This window comes from Homo sapiens, chromosome X (assembly GCF_000001405.40).
Source record: "Homo sapiens chromosome X, GRCh38.p14 Primary Assembly".
NCBI classification, from domain to species: domain Eukaryota; kingdom Metazoa; phylum Chordata; class Mammalia; order Primates; family Hominidae; genus Homo; species Homo sapiens.
In genome coordinates, this window is record NC_000023.11 from 137,753,336 (window position 1) to 137,771,539 (window position 18,204).

Genomic DNA, 18,204 nt, shown 5'->3' on the forward strand with positions numbered 1-18,204 from the left:
ACCACCACGCCCAGCTAATATTTTGTATTTTTAGTAGAGACAGGGTTTCACCATGTTGGCCAGGCTGGTCTTGAACTCTTGACCTCAGGTGATCTGCCCGCCTTGGCCTCCCAAAGTGCTGAGATTACAGATGAGAGCCACTGTGCCTGGCCTTAGCCCAGTTATTTTCAAACTGCTCTTTATCAGTGGGATCTTTTTATTTTGTATTTTATTTTTATTTTTAAAATTGTGGTAAAATACACATAACATAAAACTTTCCATCTTAACCATTTTTAAGTGTATAGTTCTGTGGTATTAAGTGCATTCACATTGTTGTGCAATCATCACCACCATTCATCTCCAGAACTCTATATCTTGCAAAACTGAAACTCAGTCCCCATTCCCGAGACCCTGGTAACGACTATTCTACTTTCTGTCTCAGTGAATTTGCCTATTCTAGATATTTCATATAAATAGAAAAATAAAATATTTGTCCTTTGTGTCTGGCTTATTTCACTTATCACAATGTCTTCAAGGCTCATCCATGTTATAGCATTTATCAGAGTTTCATTCTTTTTATAGCTTAATGATATTCCATTGTATGTAGATACCACATTTTGTTTATTCATTCATCTGTTGATGGAAACTTGGGCTGCTTCCATCTCTTGGCTACTGCAAATAATGCTGTTAGGAATATGAGTGTAGGGGCTTTCAAATTCTTTTGCCATGAAAATTTGCAGATACCTACAGAGAAGCCTGATAAAAAGTGATAAATAGATTCCCATTGTTCGGCGGAAAGTTTTTCACTGTCAGAGCAGTATGAAAGGCACTGGTCCATTCAACCCTCTGTTTTCCCAGGTGAGGAAAGTTCCATCCATAAAAGAAAAAGACATGCAGTACTAGGAAGTTAAAGGTAGAGGCTCCATAAGAACCAAGGCTTCTGACCTCAGTCTGCTGCTATTTCCACTCTACTTGGTATTACCAGTTCAGGAAACTATAGCATTCTTTCTTAATATCTGCATTGGGAATATAGAAAGCCTTAGTGTAATTCTGGGAAAGTACTTTGATAGAGAACATGATTTGTTTTAGGACTTTCACGTTGAGGTAGTTGTGAAGCTTTTTTTTTTTTTTTTTTTTTTTTTTCGTATCATTTCATTTTGCTCCAGTAGTCCTCTAGTAACAGTATGTGGTTTCCAGAGCGGAACTGCTGACACCACTAACCAGTAACATCATGATACTCTAGCTTAGGAATGTGATATTTAATTATGAGATAATAGTTTCAGAGCCCTTTGAGCTGCTCAGAACAAAGGCATTGGATACATTCAAAGTGTTATTGTATGGCGTTATCTAAAGATAGACAGTTTACTAAATATTTCCAATTCAGTATTAATCTTCAGATGTCTGCAAACATTCATTTGCATTTACAGAATAATGCTTTAAAATAAACCTGGGAAAGCAATTGGATATCATAGGATGTGCTTGGCCTTACTGAGTATTTCAAGATAACTGAAAATAGTTGAAAATGTTGGTACCATGGCAACAAAATGAAACAAAAATTTTTGAAACTTTTCTTTCCTAGGAAAGATCCTTTATTGAGTTTCATCTTTTTTCATCTTTAATTGACATGAGTTGCTTTTGACAATGTTAATTTTGATTAGTTCATCTCATCTAGAATCGGCACATTTAAGATCTGACTGGTCATTCATCAATTATCAAAAAGAAGGAAAATGCTAAGCATTCTTCATTATAGCATAATGAATTTCTGGATCTTCCTCATTTTTAAGAAGAGTCAGATTTTTTAGGTCATCTTCACTTCTTGAAATTCCATACCTTTAGTCTAAGGGCAATCAAAGTGACAGGGAAAGCAACGAATAAAAGGGAAAAGCAGATCATCCCTCAAGGTGGAAAAGTTCTCCTCCCCTGCTACTCATCAAGCAGTGTCCTTGGGGTTGGAAGTAACTACAAAGAAGAAGGAGCTCATGTCTGAGGCTGAAAAGGCAGGAAAGAAACGTACATTTACTAAGTTGCTATTATGTGTCAGGCACTGGGCTTGGCCCATTTCTGAATATTATCTCATTTCATCCTCATGACAATGCTGAGAAGTGGATCATCTTTCTCTTTTTTGTTAATACTTGAGGTAACTGGGGTTCTGATTATGTAAATTGGAACACAGGTTTTTTTTGTTTTTTTTTTTTTTTGATAGAGTTTCACTCTTGTTGCCCAGGCTGGAGTGTAAGGGCATGATCTCAGCTCACCGCAACCTCCGCCTCCTAGGTTCAAGTGATTCTCCTGCCCCAGCCTCCCAGGTAGCTGGGATTACAGGCATGCCCCACCACGCCCACCTAATTTTTTTTTTTTTTTTTTTTTTAGTAGAGACAGGGTTTCTCCATGTTGGTCAGTCTGGTCTCAAGCTCCCGACCTCAGATGATCCGCCGGCCTCGGCCTCCCAAAGTGCTGGGATTACAGATATGAGCCACCACACCTGGCCACATCTACCTATTTTAATCCCCAAATGCAAATTTCCAGGCTTGGGGGTGGGGAGTAAGGAGAGGACTTCAGCAGCAGGAAGAAAGCAGGCAATAGGAGATAAGAAAGTAAGAGGGTAGAACTTAGTGTTTCAGGCTCAAATTTAAAGCCTCACCTCACCATTTCTTGCTGTGCACACTTGGGGAAAAAACTCAGTCTCCTTTAGGTTCAGTTTTCCCACCTAAAAAACAGGAAAAAATGCTCCTCACCTCACAGAGTGGTTGTGAGCTTTGCTGATAGTGCCAGAAATGTATTCAAGCATAGAGCTTTGCACTCAGAAAACATTTTTCGTGGTTGCTTTTATGTCTAGGGGACTCCATGTTCTAACATATTACTGGATGTTTCCAGCCAGAAGTGTGTATTATTGATTGGGAAGGCAGCTGACAAGATTAGGCCATGCAAGTCAGAACACACAATATGGCGCGAGGGCATTTACACTCAGGGCTCTCAAACTCTGGCCCCGAGGATCCCTAAAGCTCCCAAAACTGGACTGAAATGTCAGCCACTTTCTAAGAATAAAGGAAGCCTTTCCCAGTTTGCAGATTAATTTGATACATCTTTTCAACTATAATTTTTTTCTCCCATAAATATTTATTAAACAATTTGGTGCCTGCTCCTAGAACTTCATTCATTCAATAGCTTCTGAGTGCCTTCTCTGTACCAGGTACTGTTCTTGGCACTGGAGAAACAGCAGTGGAAAAAAACAAAAAACAAAAAATCCCTGGCCTCATGGAGCTTACGTTCTAATTGGGGAAAGAGACAATAAATACGACAAATAGGTAAAGTGTATGGTATGTCAGTGATAAAGGCTAAGGAGAAAAAAAATGAGCAAAGGAACAAAGAGGATAGGAAGTATGAATGGGGTTTGGAATATTTATTTGGTGGGGAAGCGGTGGAAAACCCTACTGAGAAAGTGAAATTTATTTGACCTGAAAGAAGTGATAATTCCAGATAGAGAAAGCAGCAAGTGCAAAGGCCCTGAGGAGGAATGTTAGTAATATTCTAGGAGTTAAAAGGAGGCCAGAGTGGCTGATAGGGTAAATGAATGAGAGAGGGATAATGGAGCGGTATGGGGGCAGGAACAGGGAAAGCACCATGTAAGGCCTTGTACAGCTGATGGATTGTAGTTAAAAAACTAAGCAAGACACAAGCAATTGAGTATAACAGAAAACTTAAAAATATTAACATATAATTTCTTAGAAATGTTCCAGATACTGATATTATTGTTGTTCCGACAAAGAGGCATGTACATAAATAAAAAAGCCAAATGTGTTTGGTGATAAAAATAGATATCACTAATTTTTTTTTTTTTTTTGGTTTGTTTGTTTGTTTTTGAGACGGAGTCTCACTCTGGCTCATCCTGGAGTGCAGTGGCGCGATCTCGGCTCATAGCAACCTCTGCCTCCCAGGTTCAAGCGATTCTCCTGCCTCAGTCTCCCGAATATCTAGGATTACAGGCGCCTACCACCACACCTGGCTAATTTTTGTATTTTTAGTAGAGATGGGGTTTCATCATGTTGGCCAGGTTGGTCTCCAACTCCTGACCTCAGGTAATCTGCCCGCCTCAGCCTCCCAAAGTGCTAGGATTACAGGAGTGAGTCACCACGCCTGGCCAGATATCACTATTTTATAGTATTCCACAAAGGTGCCCATGACTTCGAGGTCCTTGCTACCTAAACAAGTTAGAGAATCATGGCTAGTGAGTGGCAGTGCTAGACTTCTAGGCCAGAGCTGTTATGGCCCTACTCCATGCTGGAGGCATGTCCTATAACAGAATCATTCAGTATCAGAACAGGAAGTGGCCTTGGAGGTCATCTAATTCAACTTCCTCCTTGTAGAGATGCGGATGGGAAACCCGAGTCATGGAGAGCAAAAGTGACCTGCCAAAGGTTAGCTAGCATGTCAGTAACACAGCTAGAACTAGAGCTGAAACTGTTGCTTTTTATCTGAAATGTCATGGTAGTGTTTGCAGGCTGAATGGTGGGCTCACTTTCCAGTACTTAAGGCAAAGGTGGGCTCTGAACCCAGCTGTTTTAGAGGAAGTGGTGGCAGATAATTCACCCCCTAACCTGGAACCAAGGAGATCTGAGACATAGGGGACAAAGCTGAGTTGATTTTAGGGTATGAGGTAACTATAGACTCCGGGCTGGTGGATTGTTGCAACCAAGGCAGGGCCTGGTGTTAATGGAATCCTGTGTCTTTCAGGGGTGGGAGTGAAGATAGACCTGGTGAGTTTATATCCTGAATGTTTTTGAACATCTTGAGAAGACCACCCATGAAGTTCATATGTTTTCTTGTTGATTTCTGTCTTAGGTGCTGTGCAGATGTGTCTGGAAACTGTTTAACTGAGAAAATACCATGTGGTGGCAAACGTCCTTGCTGTGTGGGCTGAACTTGTTGCTTCTTGCTGCCACCAGCCTATTGCTGAGACTTTTCTTGTATTATAACCAAATTGGTCTGAGGTGGGCACGCAGCATAAAGAAGGAGAATTTCCTGGTGACTATTTGAGGCAGCCTAGCTGTAAAGCCAGTGTGTACAACACAGAATCACTCAATAGCAGAACTGGAAGTGGCGTTGGAGGTGATCTAATCCAACTTCCTCCTTGTAGAGATGAGAAAACTGAGTCACGGAGCAAAAGTGACCTGCCAAAGGTTAGCCTGCGTGTCAGTGACATGTTAGAACTAGACCTCAGATCTCCTTTGCCCTATGTACTGGAAAATGTGTTGACCATCCAGCCTACAGATGCCTCCATGACATTTCAGACAAGGAGCAAGGCCCATTGCTTATCATTTGCTTATCATTAGAAACTGGCAATTGATGAACTTCATCTCACAGGCAAGGAAATGGATCAGGTACTGTCCCAGGCTTTGCTGGGCTTGGGCAATGATTAGTGTCAGGGCCAAACTGCTTTTGCCGATGGCTTGGGGGCTTTGGAGAGCTAAGATTGGGGTTTTGCAGGGATGGGATTGGGGCCAACACTGGTCAGTCAGACCCTGCTACCTTGGAGAACCTGACTAATGCCTAGCAGTGTGGGGTTTAGCCCAACCTGCTTCCTGGATATTCTTCCACCTGTGAGTGGGCACTTGTTGGAGCTCATGCCTATCTGTTCTTTTCTCTGTCTTGCTCTCTCTTACAGAAGCTTGAGAAGCAGACATTACACAGCATGAAAAGCCCACATCTGCAGTGGAGGTGCTGAGAACCCACTAGTGAGGCAGCTGTGAGTCCTCAGACATGTGTTAGTGCTGGTGGCTCAGGGCCAAGTGAAATCTCTGGCTCCAATCATGTGGCTACCCTCTGTAAAAGTTGGCTGTCTGAAAGAATGCAACAGGAAAATCAGAAACGCCTGCATGCGTTTCCCTGTTGCAGTCGGTGCAGAGCAGTAGTTCAATTCCACTCAAGTCCCAGTGATGTTACGGAGATCCTTTAATATCATTTGGAAACCCAGACACCTGGTTTTGCCATTTGTGAGCTCTCATGACTCATCGCCATGCTCCACTCACCTCTGAGATGAGAGTGGCTTTCCCAGCTGGAGGTTGCCTTTGTGTAGATGATCGGTTGGCTACATTTCCAGAAGAGAGTAAAAGGTGCATGACTTAGGTGTGATCTTGGACATCAGAACAAAAGGTGAAGAACAACACACCATTGCTCTGTGAAAACTGGCATGTAGTCATCTTGCTTCTGGGAAAATGTCACCTCCTGGTCATCTATTGACCTAAAGCTAGGAGCCAGGGGTATATGAAATATGTTTGACACACTCTTCAAACCACTTTTCCAAGGTTGCTAGCTAGCTACAAATACCCACGCTGTTCTACCGACATATCTTCTTGAAAAGTAATGGCATTTTAAAAAGGGAGGAGGGTGAAAGTGGGGAGGTGCTTAGAACTGACAATATTGCATTACTTTTGGAGAACTGCAATGTGCTCTGCTTGGACAAAAGGAAGTTAGACTGCGATAATATAATTCTGGATTCTATGGAATGTTGCAGCTCAGAGGGGCAAGAGATAAAAGACAGAGGCACAGCATAGTGGTAAGTTTCAGGGTTTTTATTTTATATGAAAACCTCATTTTGTCACAAATATGGACTGAATGTAAGTAATAGAAGAGTATTAGATTTCTGTGCATCAAAATGGAAACATGCTTACTTGGCTGTGCTTTGTATTATCTGAAAAATACCAAGTGTGCCTCATCAATAGCCTTTGTGCTAAAAGGCTTGCAAAATAATTTCAGAAAAGGTGTGTTGGCAATCAACAACTGTTTAGCTAGAGGGAAATAAATAGCCTATTTGATGAAACTACCTGGGAAGCACCTTTGCTGGTGCAACATATGTCTATGCCCCATTGCTGTATGTCCAAGCATGTTCAATTATGGATCAGGGTGTGTAAGTTAGAGAGCCATGGAGACATAAGCGAGACATAATTTATGCAGATTTGCCCAAGTTCATATAGCACTTTGTTATTCAACACAAAAGCAGCCACCATAGCAACCTCAGGATCACAAAATCCTTATGGTACCTCTGAGAGACAGATCATCCTCTTGCAAAATGTTGAAGCGTGCAAATGTTCCACAGCCACATAGTTTATCTTTGCCCTGTGTGAACCAGGGAGCTGGATGGCTAAAATGCTTTTTTCCTTTTGGTGTGATCTTAATGTCCCATAAATGCACAGTCTGTGTTAAGTAAGCTAGCTAGTAGGTGGATTTTCTCCTCTCTCAGGGTTTGTTTTCATTTTCATTTCCTTAATGATTTGAAAAGTTATTTTCAAAGGTTCCTAGGACAGGACTCAGTGGCGCTATGCTGGACCTGGCTTCCTTTGCTGCCGAAGTACAGACCCTCTGCAGCATAACAGAACAAGGCCATTGAGCAGCTAGTGGGTAAGGGGTATAGTAATGAGCTCCAGCTGTTGAGTTAAGCGCCAAGGAACTGAGGAGAGCCCAAATGGAGAGGCTCTGCCCTTACCTTTCCTGTTTTGGTATCCAGACCCTGGGTCCAAATTCAAGCTGATGTCCCCACTTCTGAACACCCCTAGTGACCTGCAAGTGTCCTTCATGTGCTAGACGTGGCAGACTCCCCAGCTCACAGGTCTTGGGTATTACGTGGAAAAGGCTCCTAGGATGGAGTACAAATAAAGTGCATCTCTGAAAAACAAATGAAAAGCCCTGATGTGTAGGGTCTGCATATTTTTGTGGTGCAAATACTCCCATCGTAGCCCAAGTTCAAACTAGCAGCAGCTTAACAACCGGCTCACAAAACTCCTGAAAATCTAACAGCCAGCTCCAGGACAGTGGTGTCCCAGGTTATCTCATTTGCTACCCACAGCCAGTCTCAGGGATAGGTTGGTGTCCTCAATCCCATTTAAGGGAAGCAGAAACAGGCCTAGAGGGCTTAAGGCAGTGATTCTCAAACTTTACTGTGCATATGAATCACCTGGGGATCTTGTTAAAAGGGGATCCTGTGATTCTGCATTTTTAACAAGCTCCCTTGTGACAAGTTTCCACAGTTAATTAAAGGTACAGTCAACCTTCTGGAAAAGGAGAGGAGGCTAAAAGATGGTGTCTCACAACGGACAAGTCATGCTCTGCCCGCTTGTCCAAGCCACACTCTTTGATTCCCCAATCAATTCCACTCCTGGAATGCTCAGGGACCCTCATGGGCCCTCACAGCAGCCACTAGCAAAAGGCTGTAGGACAGAACACATACCGCCCTTTCAGGCAAAGGGGAAGCTGGGTTTTTTCTTTCCAATGCGCACAGGTTAGGGACAGGCTCAAAGCAGAACTTTGATGGATTCATGGCCGTATGACGGCCTTTTGCGTGACCCAATGCCAACCCTATAAAGCAACACCTCTCCTTGAGTTTGCTCATATTATGTGACTTTATGGTACTGCACCCTTAGGAATTTGCTCTAATTCTATATTTCCTTCCTCTCTTGGTCTTAAAGGAAAAAATCTGTTGCTGCATATTGTAGAGGAGCTGAAAATTGAGGCTATTCTCTGGCTACCTGATAATTATAAACTTAGAGGCTAAAATCAGCCACCAGAAAACAATTACAAATGAGCTAATGTGGGTCCTGTTTTCACTCAAGTTCATCACCTTGTAATAAAGACTTAGAAGAGCTGGAGAGATGACTGAATGGAGAAACCTAAGCTCAGGGGACTGTGTGTCTTGGATGATGCTAAATTCTGGGAAAAACAGGTAACAGCATTCCTGATCTCAGAGAGCCTGCAATCTAGTGGGGGTAACGCAGGCCCACCAAAGTGTATGAGAGCGTATATAGTAAAAGGTCCAGTTGGGCAGTGAGATTTAGATTATGTTTGTTGTACAGAATGCTGTAGTGTCTGTGGGCAGGGCTACTGTCTAGACTGTCAGAGCACAATTTCCAAGGGAATGTCTGTTCTTCATTCTTGTTTTAAGAGTTTTCATTCAATTGTGTAATCAAAAGATTCAACTGTATCCAAGATACTTTCTAGTTAATAGAACGCACGAGCAAGGGATTCTTTTTTTTTTCCTTGGGAGATTGTCTCACAATCAAAATAATCTTTCTAGTAAAACAATTTTATCCTGATATTCAGTTCCAGTTCTTTTTTCATTTTCTTCTCCTGAGTCTGGAGAAACCAAGTGAGTCATGATGATCCATTTATTCGCTGCCAAATGTATGTTTGCTGTTATACAGACATAATCTTAACTGCATCTCTCTGCTTTTCTTTATCACCCTAACAAATTTCATTCTGTGTCTGCTACAGGGATGCCTTTTTGTTTATAGGACAAGAGAGTGCACAGTCACATACCTTATCCCTTTTCTACCTATAGAAATCCTCCTCATCCCCTCAGGCCCAATTTGAAATGTCACATTATCTGGGAAGCCTTCCCCAATCCCTGCCGTTAGTTGGAAGGTATTATATTTTTCTCTGGGTCTACAACCTCGTGCCCCCCTTCCCAATAAGAGCACATATTTGATTCTGCCTTCCATTAGAGGTAATTATCTCATGGTCTTTCCCCCTTTCTTACCTCCACCCCGGCTAGAATGTCAGATTAAACCTGTAGATTAATTAATAATTTTAATTATCAATTACTGAATACCTACTAAGTACCGGGCATTTTACAGGAGAGTGTTTTGTTTTTGTTTTTGTTTTTGTTTTTGTTTTGAGATGGAGTTTCACTCTTGTTGCCCAGGCTGGAGTACAATGGCGCTATCTCGGCTCACCGCAACCTCCGCCTCCCAGGTTCAAGCAATTCTCCTGTCTCAGCCTCCCTAGCAGCTGGGATTACAGGCATGTGCCACCACGCCTGGCTAATTTTGTATTTTTAGGAGATACGGGGTTTCCCCACGTTGATCAGGCTGTTCTCGAACTCCCCACCTCAGGTAATCCGCCCACCTCAGCCTCCCAAAGTGCTGGGATTACAGGCATGAGCCAGCGCGCCTGGCCAAGAGAGTGTTTTAAAAATGCAAAATAACTCCTTATCGGAGGTGCCATCATCCTATTTCACTGAAGGTCAGAGAGGTCAGCAACTTGCCTGGAATCTCCCAAGTAGCAATAGTTTAAATCTGACCCAAAGCCCACACTTTTTTCATTCCACCCCCTGCTATATGCTTTCCTGGAGGGTAGGAACTAAGGTATCCAGCTAGATTAATTGTTTAGTAAGTTGTCTAATGAATACATACAGGAAGCGGTATGTGTTACTCTGCTCATGGTATCAATAATGAGGTGCTAAAAAAGGGACTGCCACCTGGCTGGTGCCCCTCCTTGCGTGGCCTCCCAGGGTACAGCACTCAGGTCTCCTTTCTTTCAATCTCTGTGTACTGTGCCATGTCCCCATTTGTCTGTTCCCTCCCATTCAGTCAACTAGCTAAGCTTATAAATGGATGCACTTTGATGCTATTGTATTAATGGATGCTAATAGGTATTTTCCTTCATTCAACATTTATATAACAAATATTTAATGTACAGTGCCAGGCACGTAGGAGGAGTCTTATACATATCCATTGAATAAATGTGCTAGAGGCAGAATGGAGCTGTTTGTGACAATAAAGATAGGAATACAGACACAGGTTAGAGCTAATTTCTCTCTCTCTCTCTCTCTTTTTTTTTTGTTTTTTGTTTTTTTGAGATGGAGTCTCTCTCTGTCACCCAGTCTGGAGTGCAATGGCACGATCTCGGCTCACTGCTACCTCTGCTTCCTGGGTTCAAGCGATTCTTCTGCCTCAGTAGCTGGGACTACAGGTGTGCACCATCACGCCTGGCTATTTTTTTTTTGTATTTTTAGTAGAAACAGGGTATCACCTTGTTGGCCAGGCTGGTCTCGAACTCCTGACCTCAGGTAATCCACCTGCCTCAGCCTACCAAAGTGCTGGCATTACAGGCGTGAGCCACTGTGCCCAGCCAGCTTAGAGCTAATGTCTAGCAAACACATCAAGGTACCAAGGACTGTGCTGAGCCAGGGACACCAAGATGACTAAAACTGACACGGTATCTGCCCTCATTGAATTTACTCTCTAGTAGGTGACGCATTGCACTTTACACTATATCTACTTGAATTAATGTCCTAATCAAAAAGAGGAGGCTAAAAATATATTTTAGGGGAGGGGGTCATGAGAGATTAGAGTGACCATGCAGGATTTGCTGCCATTGAACTTTACTATGAAGAATTGATTCTAGACAGCAAGTCTCTGTGTGGAATTTCTCTTTCTTTCACATTTCCTTCCAGTTATTGTCAACTTGGGAAGGAGGTGGGGGCACACCTTCCGAAGGGCTTGTAGCATCATTTGCAGTGAGTGCTTTTATCATTTAAAAATTATATAACTATCAAATGAAAACATTGTTACCATAAAAAATCTTCTAATAATACCTTATTACCTTCAGACTTTGTCTCAAACCCATTCTCCAGAAGTACTCACAGTTATAGATTGCTGTGTCTCCGTCTAGATATTTTTCTCTGCACTTATGAAATCAAATGTACATACACTTAAATAGTACAGTTTTTATTTTTATAAAAGTGAAATCACTTTTTTTCTATGTATTCTTCAGTGAATGGTTTTTTCATCTAACAATATGTCTTGGATAACTTTCCATGTTGCTACTTATGGATCTATATTTTTCTTTTAGATTTTTTTTATTATACTTTAAGTTCTAGGGTACATGTGCACAACGTGCAGGTTTGTTACATATTTATACATGTGCCATGTTGGTGTGCTGCACCCATTAACTCTCATTTACATTAGGTATATCTCCTAATGCTATCCCTCCCCCTTCCCCCTACCCCACAACAGGCCCCGGTGTGTGATGTTCCCCTTCCTGTGCCCAAGTGTTCTCATTGTTCAATTCCCACCTATGAGTGAGAACATGCAGTGTTTGATTTTTTGTCCTTGTGATAGTTTGCTGAGAATGATGGTTTTCAGCTTCATCCATGTCCCTACAAAGGACATGAACTCATCCTTTCTTATGGCTGCATACTATTGCATGGTGTATGTGTGCCACATTTTTGTTACACAGTCTATCATTGTTGGACATTTGGGTTGGTTCCAAGTCTTTGCTATTGTGAGTAGTGCCGCAATAAACATACGTGTGCATGTGTCTTTATAGCAGCATGATTTATAATCCTTTGGGTATATACCCAGTAATGGGATTGCAGGGTCAACTGGTATTTCTAGTTCCAGATCCCTGAGGAATCACGTCACTGTCTTCCACAATGGTTGAACTAGTTTACAGTCCCACCAACAGTGTAAAAGTGTTCCTATTTCTCCACATCCTCTCCAGCACCTGTTGTTTCCTGACTTTTTAATGATCACCATTCTAACTGGTGTGAGATGGTATCTCATTGTGGTTTTGATTTGCATTTCTCTGATGACCAGTGATGATGAACATTTTTTCATGTGTCTGTTGGCTGCATAAATGTCTTCTTTTGAGAAGTGTCTGTTCATATCCTTTGCCCACTTGTTGATGGGGTTGTTTGTTTTTTTCTTGTAAATTTGTTTGATTTCTTCGTAGATTCTGGATATTAGCCTTTTGTCAGATGAGTATATTGCAAAAATTTTCTCCCATTCTTTAGGTTGCCTGTTCACTCTGATGGTAGTTTCTTTTGCTGTGCAGAAGCTCTTTAGTTTAATTAGATCCCATTTGTCAATTTTGGCTTTTGTTGCCATTGCTTTTGGTGTTTTAGACATGAAGTCCTTGCCAATGCCTATGTCCTGAATGGTATTGCCTAGGTTTTCTTCTAGGGTTTTTATGGTTTTAGATCTAGCATGTAAGTCTTTAATCCATCTTGAATTAATTTTAGTATAAGGTGTCAGGAAGGGATCCAGTTTCAGCTTTCTACATATGGCTAGCCAGTTTTCCCAGCACCATTTGTTAAACAGGGAATCCTTTCCCCATTTCTTGTTTTTCTCAGGTTTGTCAAAGATCAGGTAGTTGTAGATATGTGGTATTATTTCTGAGGGCTCTATTCTGTTCCATTGATCTATATCTCTGTTTTGGTACCAGTACCATGCTGCTTTGGTTACTGTAGCCTTGTAGTATAGTTTGAAGTCAGGTAGCGTGATGCCTCCAGTTTTGTTCTTTTGGCTTAGGATTGACTTGGCAATGCGGGCTCTTTTTTGGTTCCATATGAACTTTAAAGTAGTTTTCTCCAATTCTGTGAAGAAAGTCAGTGGTAGCTTGATGGGCATGGCATTGAATCTATAAATTACCTTGGGCAGTATGGCCATTTTCACGATATTGATTCTTCCTATCCATGAGCATGGAATGTTCTTCCATTTGTGTGTGTCCTCTTTTATTTCGTTGAGCAGTGGTTTGTAGTTCTCCTTGAAGAGGTCCTTCACATCCCTTGTAAGTTGGATTCCTAAGTATCTTATTCTCTTTGAAGCAATTGTGAATGGGAGTTCACTGATGATTTGGCTCTCTGTTTGTCTGTTATTGGTGTATAAGAATGCCTGTGATTTTTGCACATTGATTTTGTATCCTGAGACTTTGCTGAAGTTGCTTATCAGCTTAAGGAGATTTTGGGCTGAGACAATGGGGTTTTCTTAACATACAATCATGTCATCTGCAAACAGAGACAATTTGACTTCCTCTTTTCCTAATTGAATACCCTTTATTTCCTTCTCCTGCCTGATTGCCCTGGCCAGAACTTCCAACACTATGTTGAATAGGAGTGGTGAGAGAGGGCATCCCTGTCTTGTGCCAGTTTTCAAAGGGAATGCTTCCAGTTTTTGTCCGTTCAGTATGATATTGGCTATAGGTTTGTCATAAATAGCTCTTATTATTTTGAGATATGTCCCATCAATACCTAATTTATTGAGAGTTTCTAGCATGAAGGGCTGTTGAATTTTGTCAAAGGCCTTTTCTGCATCTGTTGAGATAATCATGTGGTTTTTGTCTTTGGTTCTGTTTATATGCTGGATTATGTTTATTGATTTGTGTATGTTGAATCAGCTTTGCATCCCAGGGATGAAGCCCACTTGATCATGGTGGATAAGCTTTTTGATGTGCTGCTGGATTCGGTTTGCCAGTATTTTATTGAGAATTTTTGCATCGATGTTCATTAAGGATATTGGTCTAAAATTCTCTTTTTTTGTTGTGTCTCTGCCCGGCTTTGGTATCAGGATGATGCTGGCCTCATAAAATGAGTTAGGGAGGATTCCCTCTTTTTCTGTTGATTGGAATAGTTTCAGAAGGAATGGTACCAACTCCTCCTTGTACCTCTGGTAGAATTCGGCTGTGAATCCATCTGGTCCTGGACTTTTTTTGGTTGGTAAGCTATTAATGATTGCCTCAATTTCAGAGCCTGTTATTGGTCTATTAAGATATTCAACTTCTTCCTGGTTTAGTCTTGGGAGGGTTTATGTGTCCAGAAATTTATTCATTTCTTCTAGATTTTCTAATTTATTTGCATAGTGGTGTTTATAGCATTCTCTGATGGTAGGTTGTATTTCTGTGGGATCGGTTGTGGTATCCCCTTTATCATTTTTTATTACGTCTATTTGATTCTTCTCTCTCTTCTTCTTCTCTATATTTCCTGAATTTGAATGTTGGCCTGCCTTGCTAGGTTGGGAAAGTTCTCCTGTATAATATCCTGCAGAGTGTTTTCCAACTTGGTTCCATTCTCCCTGTCACTTTCAGGTACACCAATCAGACGTAGATTTGGTCTTTTCACATAGTCCCATATTTCTTGGAGGCTTTGTTCATTTCTTTTTATTCCTTTTTTTCTAAATTTCTCTTCTCGCTTCATTTCATTCATGTGATCTTCCATCTCTGATACCCTTTCTTCCAGTTGATCGAATCGGCTACTGAGGCTTGTGCATTCGTCACGTAGTTCTTGTGCCATGGTTTTCACCTCCATCAGGTCCTTTAAGACTTCTCTGCATTGGGTATTCTAGTTAGCCATTCGTCTAATCTTTTTCAAGGTTTTTAACTTCTTTGCGATGGGTTCAAACTTCCTCCTTTAGCTCAGAGAAGTTTGATCGTCTGAAGCCTTCTTCTCTCAACTCGTCAAAATCATTCTCCGTCCAGCTTTGTTGTGTTGCTGGTGAGGAGCTGTATTCCTTTGGAGGAGGAGAGGTGCTCTGATTTTTAGAATTTTCAGTTTTTCTGCTCTGTTTTTTCCCCATCTTTGTGGTTTTATCTACCTTTGGTCTTTGATGATGGTGATGTACAGATGGGTTTTGGTGTGGATGTCCTTTCTGTTTGTTAGTTTTCCTTCTAACAGTCAGGAACCTCAGCTGCAAGTCTGTTGGAGTTTGCTGGAGGTCCACTCCAGACCCTGTCTGCCTGGGTATCAGCAGCAGAGGCTGCAGAACAGCAAACATTGCTGAGCAGCAAATGTTGCTGCCTGATCGTTCCTCTGGAGGTTTCGTCTCAGAGGGGTACCCAGCAGTGTGAGGTGTCAGTCTGCCCCTACTGGGGGTTGCCTCCCAGATAGGCTACTCGGGGGTTAGGGACCCACTTGAGGAGGCAGTCTGTCCATTCTCAGATCTCCAGCTGCATGCTGGGAGAACCACTACTCTCTTCAAAGCTGTTATACAGGGACATTTAAGTCTGCAGAGGTTTCTGCTGCCTTTTGTTCGGCTATGCCCTGTCGCCAGCGGTAGAGTCTACAGAGGCAGGCAGGCCTCCTTGAGCTGCAGTGTGCTCCACCCAGTTCGAGCTTCCCGGCCGCTTTGTTCACCTACTCAAGCCTCAGCAATGGCAGGCGCCCCTCCCCCAGCCTCGCTGCCACCTTGCAGTTGGATCTCAGACTGCTGTGCTAGCAATGAGCGAGGCTCCATGGGTGTGGGACCCTCCGAGCCAGGCACAGGATATAATCTCCTGGTGTGCCATTTGCAAGACCATTGGAAAAATGCAGTATTAGGGTGGGAGTGACCTGATTTCCCAGGGGCCATCTGTCACAGCTTTGCTTGGCTATGAAAGGGAATTCCCTGACCCCTTGCGCTTCCCGGGTGAGGCGATGCCTCGCCCTGCTTCACCTCACGCTCAGTGCGCTGCACCCACTGTCCTGCAACCACTGTCTGACAAGCCGCAGTGAGGTGAACCTGGTACCTCAGTTGGAAATGCAGAAATCACCCATCTTCTGCATCACTCACGCTGGGTGCTGTAGACTGGAGCTGTTCCTATTCGGCCATCTTGGAACCACCCCTTCTTTCATTTTTTGAGAAACAAACTGTTGCTTTTAAACTGCAGTATAGTATTCCATTGTACGGATGTATGAACGTTTTATTTAACCATTTCTATACTTGTGAATATTTAGGTTGTTTCCAATTTGTTTACTCTTATGAAGAATGTTGCAGTGAGCATCCTAGGCAATTCGCCTTATGCACATGTATGTCAATATTTCCCTAGAGTAACTGTGTAGAAGTTCAATTGTTGAGTCACGGGGTATGTGCATTTAATTGCTGTATTTCCCTCCAAAGTGGCTGGATCAATTTACATTACCACCATTAGTGTATGGATACCCTTTGTATTTATTTATGTTTATATTTAGTTATTTAAACCAGGGGTCCCCAACCCCTGAACCACAGACCAATACTGGTCAGTGGCCTGTTGGGACCCGGGCCACACAGCAGGGAGTGAGCAGTGGGCAATCTAATTCCACCACTGATCTGACAGGAGGCAGAGCTCAGGTGGTAATGCTGGCTTGAGCCTGCTGATCAATGTTAGCATCACTAAGAGAAGCATAAACCAGACCTTCTGTTCCTCCTCATGGGATCCAACAGGAGGCACACAGAAGTATCCATGAAATAGTCTTGCCAAAAATGTCTGTAAACTCTATCAAACTTTTAGAGCAATTGTCAAGTGAATAGGAAATATAGGGAACAGAGAAAAATGTTAAATGGAACCCAAGAAAGCAATCAGAAAATCCAGAATATAAGAAGAAGTGGCTTTTTTTTTTTTAAGAAGCCAATGGGAGGGAATAATTGAGGGGAGACTACTCTAGTTTAAAAGATATTTGAGGGACATTACAAACAAATGTAGTGAACCTGCATTGGCTGCTACTTCAATTGAATTAAAAATGTCTCCAAGGCAGCCTGGTATGAGACAGAGATCTAACTAAATTTTCTCAAATGAATAGCTAATTGTCCTTATACTATTTCTTGAAAAGCTCATTTTTCCCCAATGATTTTAAGTGCTACCTTCACCATGCATTAAATTATTATAATTTTAATGCACTAACATGCATTTTGACTGTTTTTGACTGTATTCTCTTTCATGGTGAGGGCTTTATCAAACTATCCATTGCCACAGCAATTGAATGGAGTGTTGGCACAAATACTGTTGATCCTCTAATACATATGCCATTCTTTCAAAGAAGACTCTTAATGAGGGCCAGGCACGGTGGCTCACGCCTGTAATCCCAGCACTTTGGGAGGACGAGGAGGGCGGATCACAAGGTCAAGAGATCGAGTCAATCCTGGCCCACATGGTGAAACCTTGTCTCTACTAAAAATACAAGAATTAGCTGGGCATAGTGGTGCGCACCTATAGTCCCAGCTACTCAGAAGGCTAAGGCAGGAGAATTGCTTGAACCCGGGAGGTGGAGGCCGAGATCATGCCACTGCACTCCAGCCTGGCGACAGAGCAAGACTCTGTCTGAAAAAAAAAAAAATACTTAATGACATTCACAAAAGTTTTCTTTTGGTTTTAACTAAGTAGTATATTAGCGTAGACACTTTGTTTTAAGAATAAGATATCCACATGCAGTGACCTCAGAGTTACTTTATTCCAATAAGAGATTAATCATTATAACAAAATAAAATAAAAATGCCAAAGATTAACTGTTGGTGCATATAGCCACATTTCTATTTCTCCCATTAAAATGAAAGGATATGCTGGGCAGAATTTTTATGTCAGAAGATCCCGGACTTTGTACTTGATCAACTGACCTAAAGGACCCAAGACAGTCCTACTTTTTTCATACCTTGAAAGCAAATCTTACTCCAGACATTAACTTCTATAGAGGTCCTTTTAGAGACAGGCTTAAAGAAAAAGAAAAAAAAAAAGAAACCCTGCAGAATGTAATATAATACAATGGGGAAGAAAAGAATATTCAGAGCACCATTTTTTATAAGCACAGAAAAGTTGTTTTACAGACATTTATAAAGATGATGGAAATAGCTTTCTCCAAAATGATTATCCATCTATGGAGTAGAGCAGTTGCATTTTGCACCTCAAATGTTTGTGACTTCCTATAGAAATACATTGGTTTTACTTTTCTTT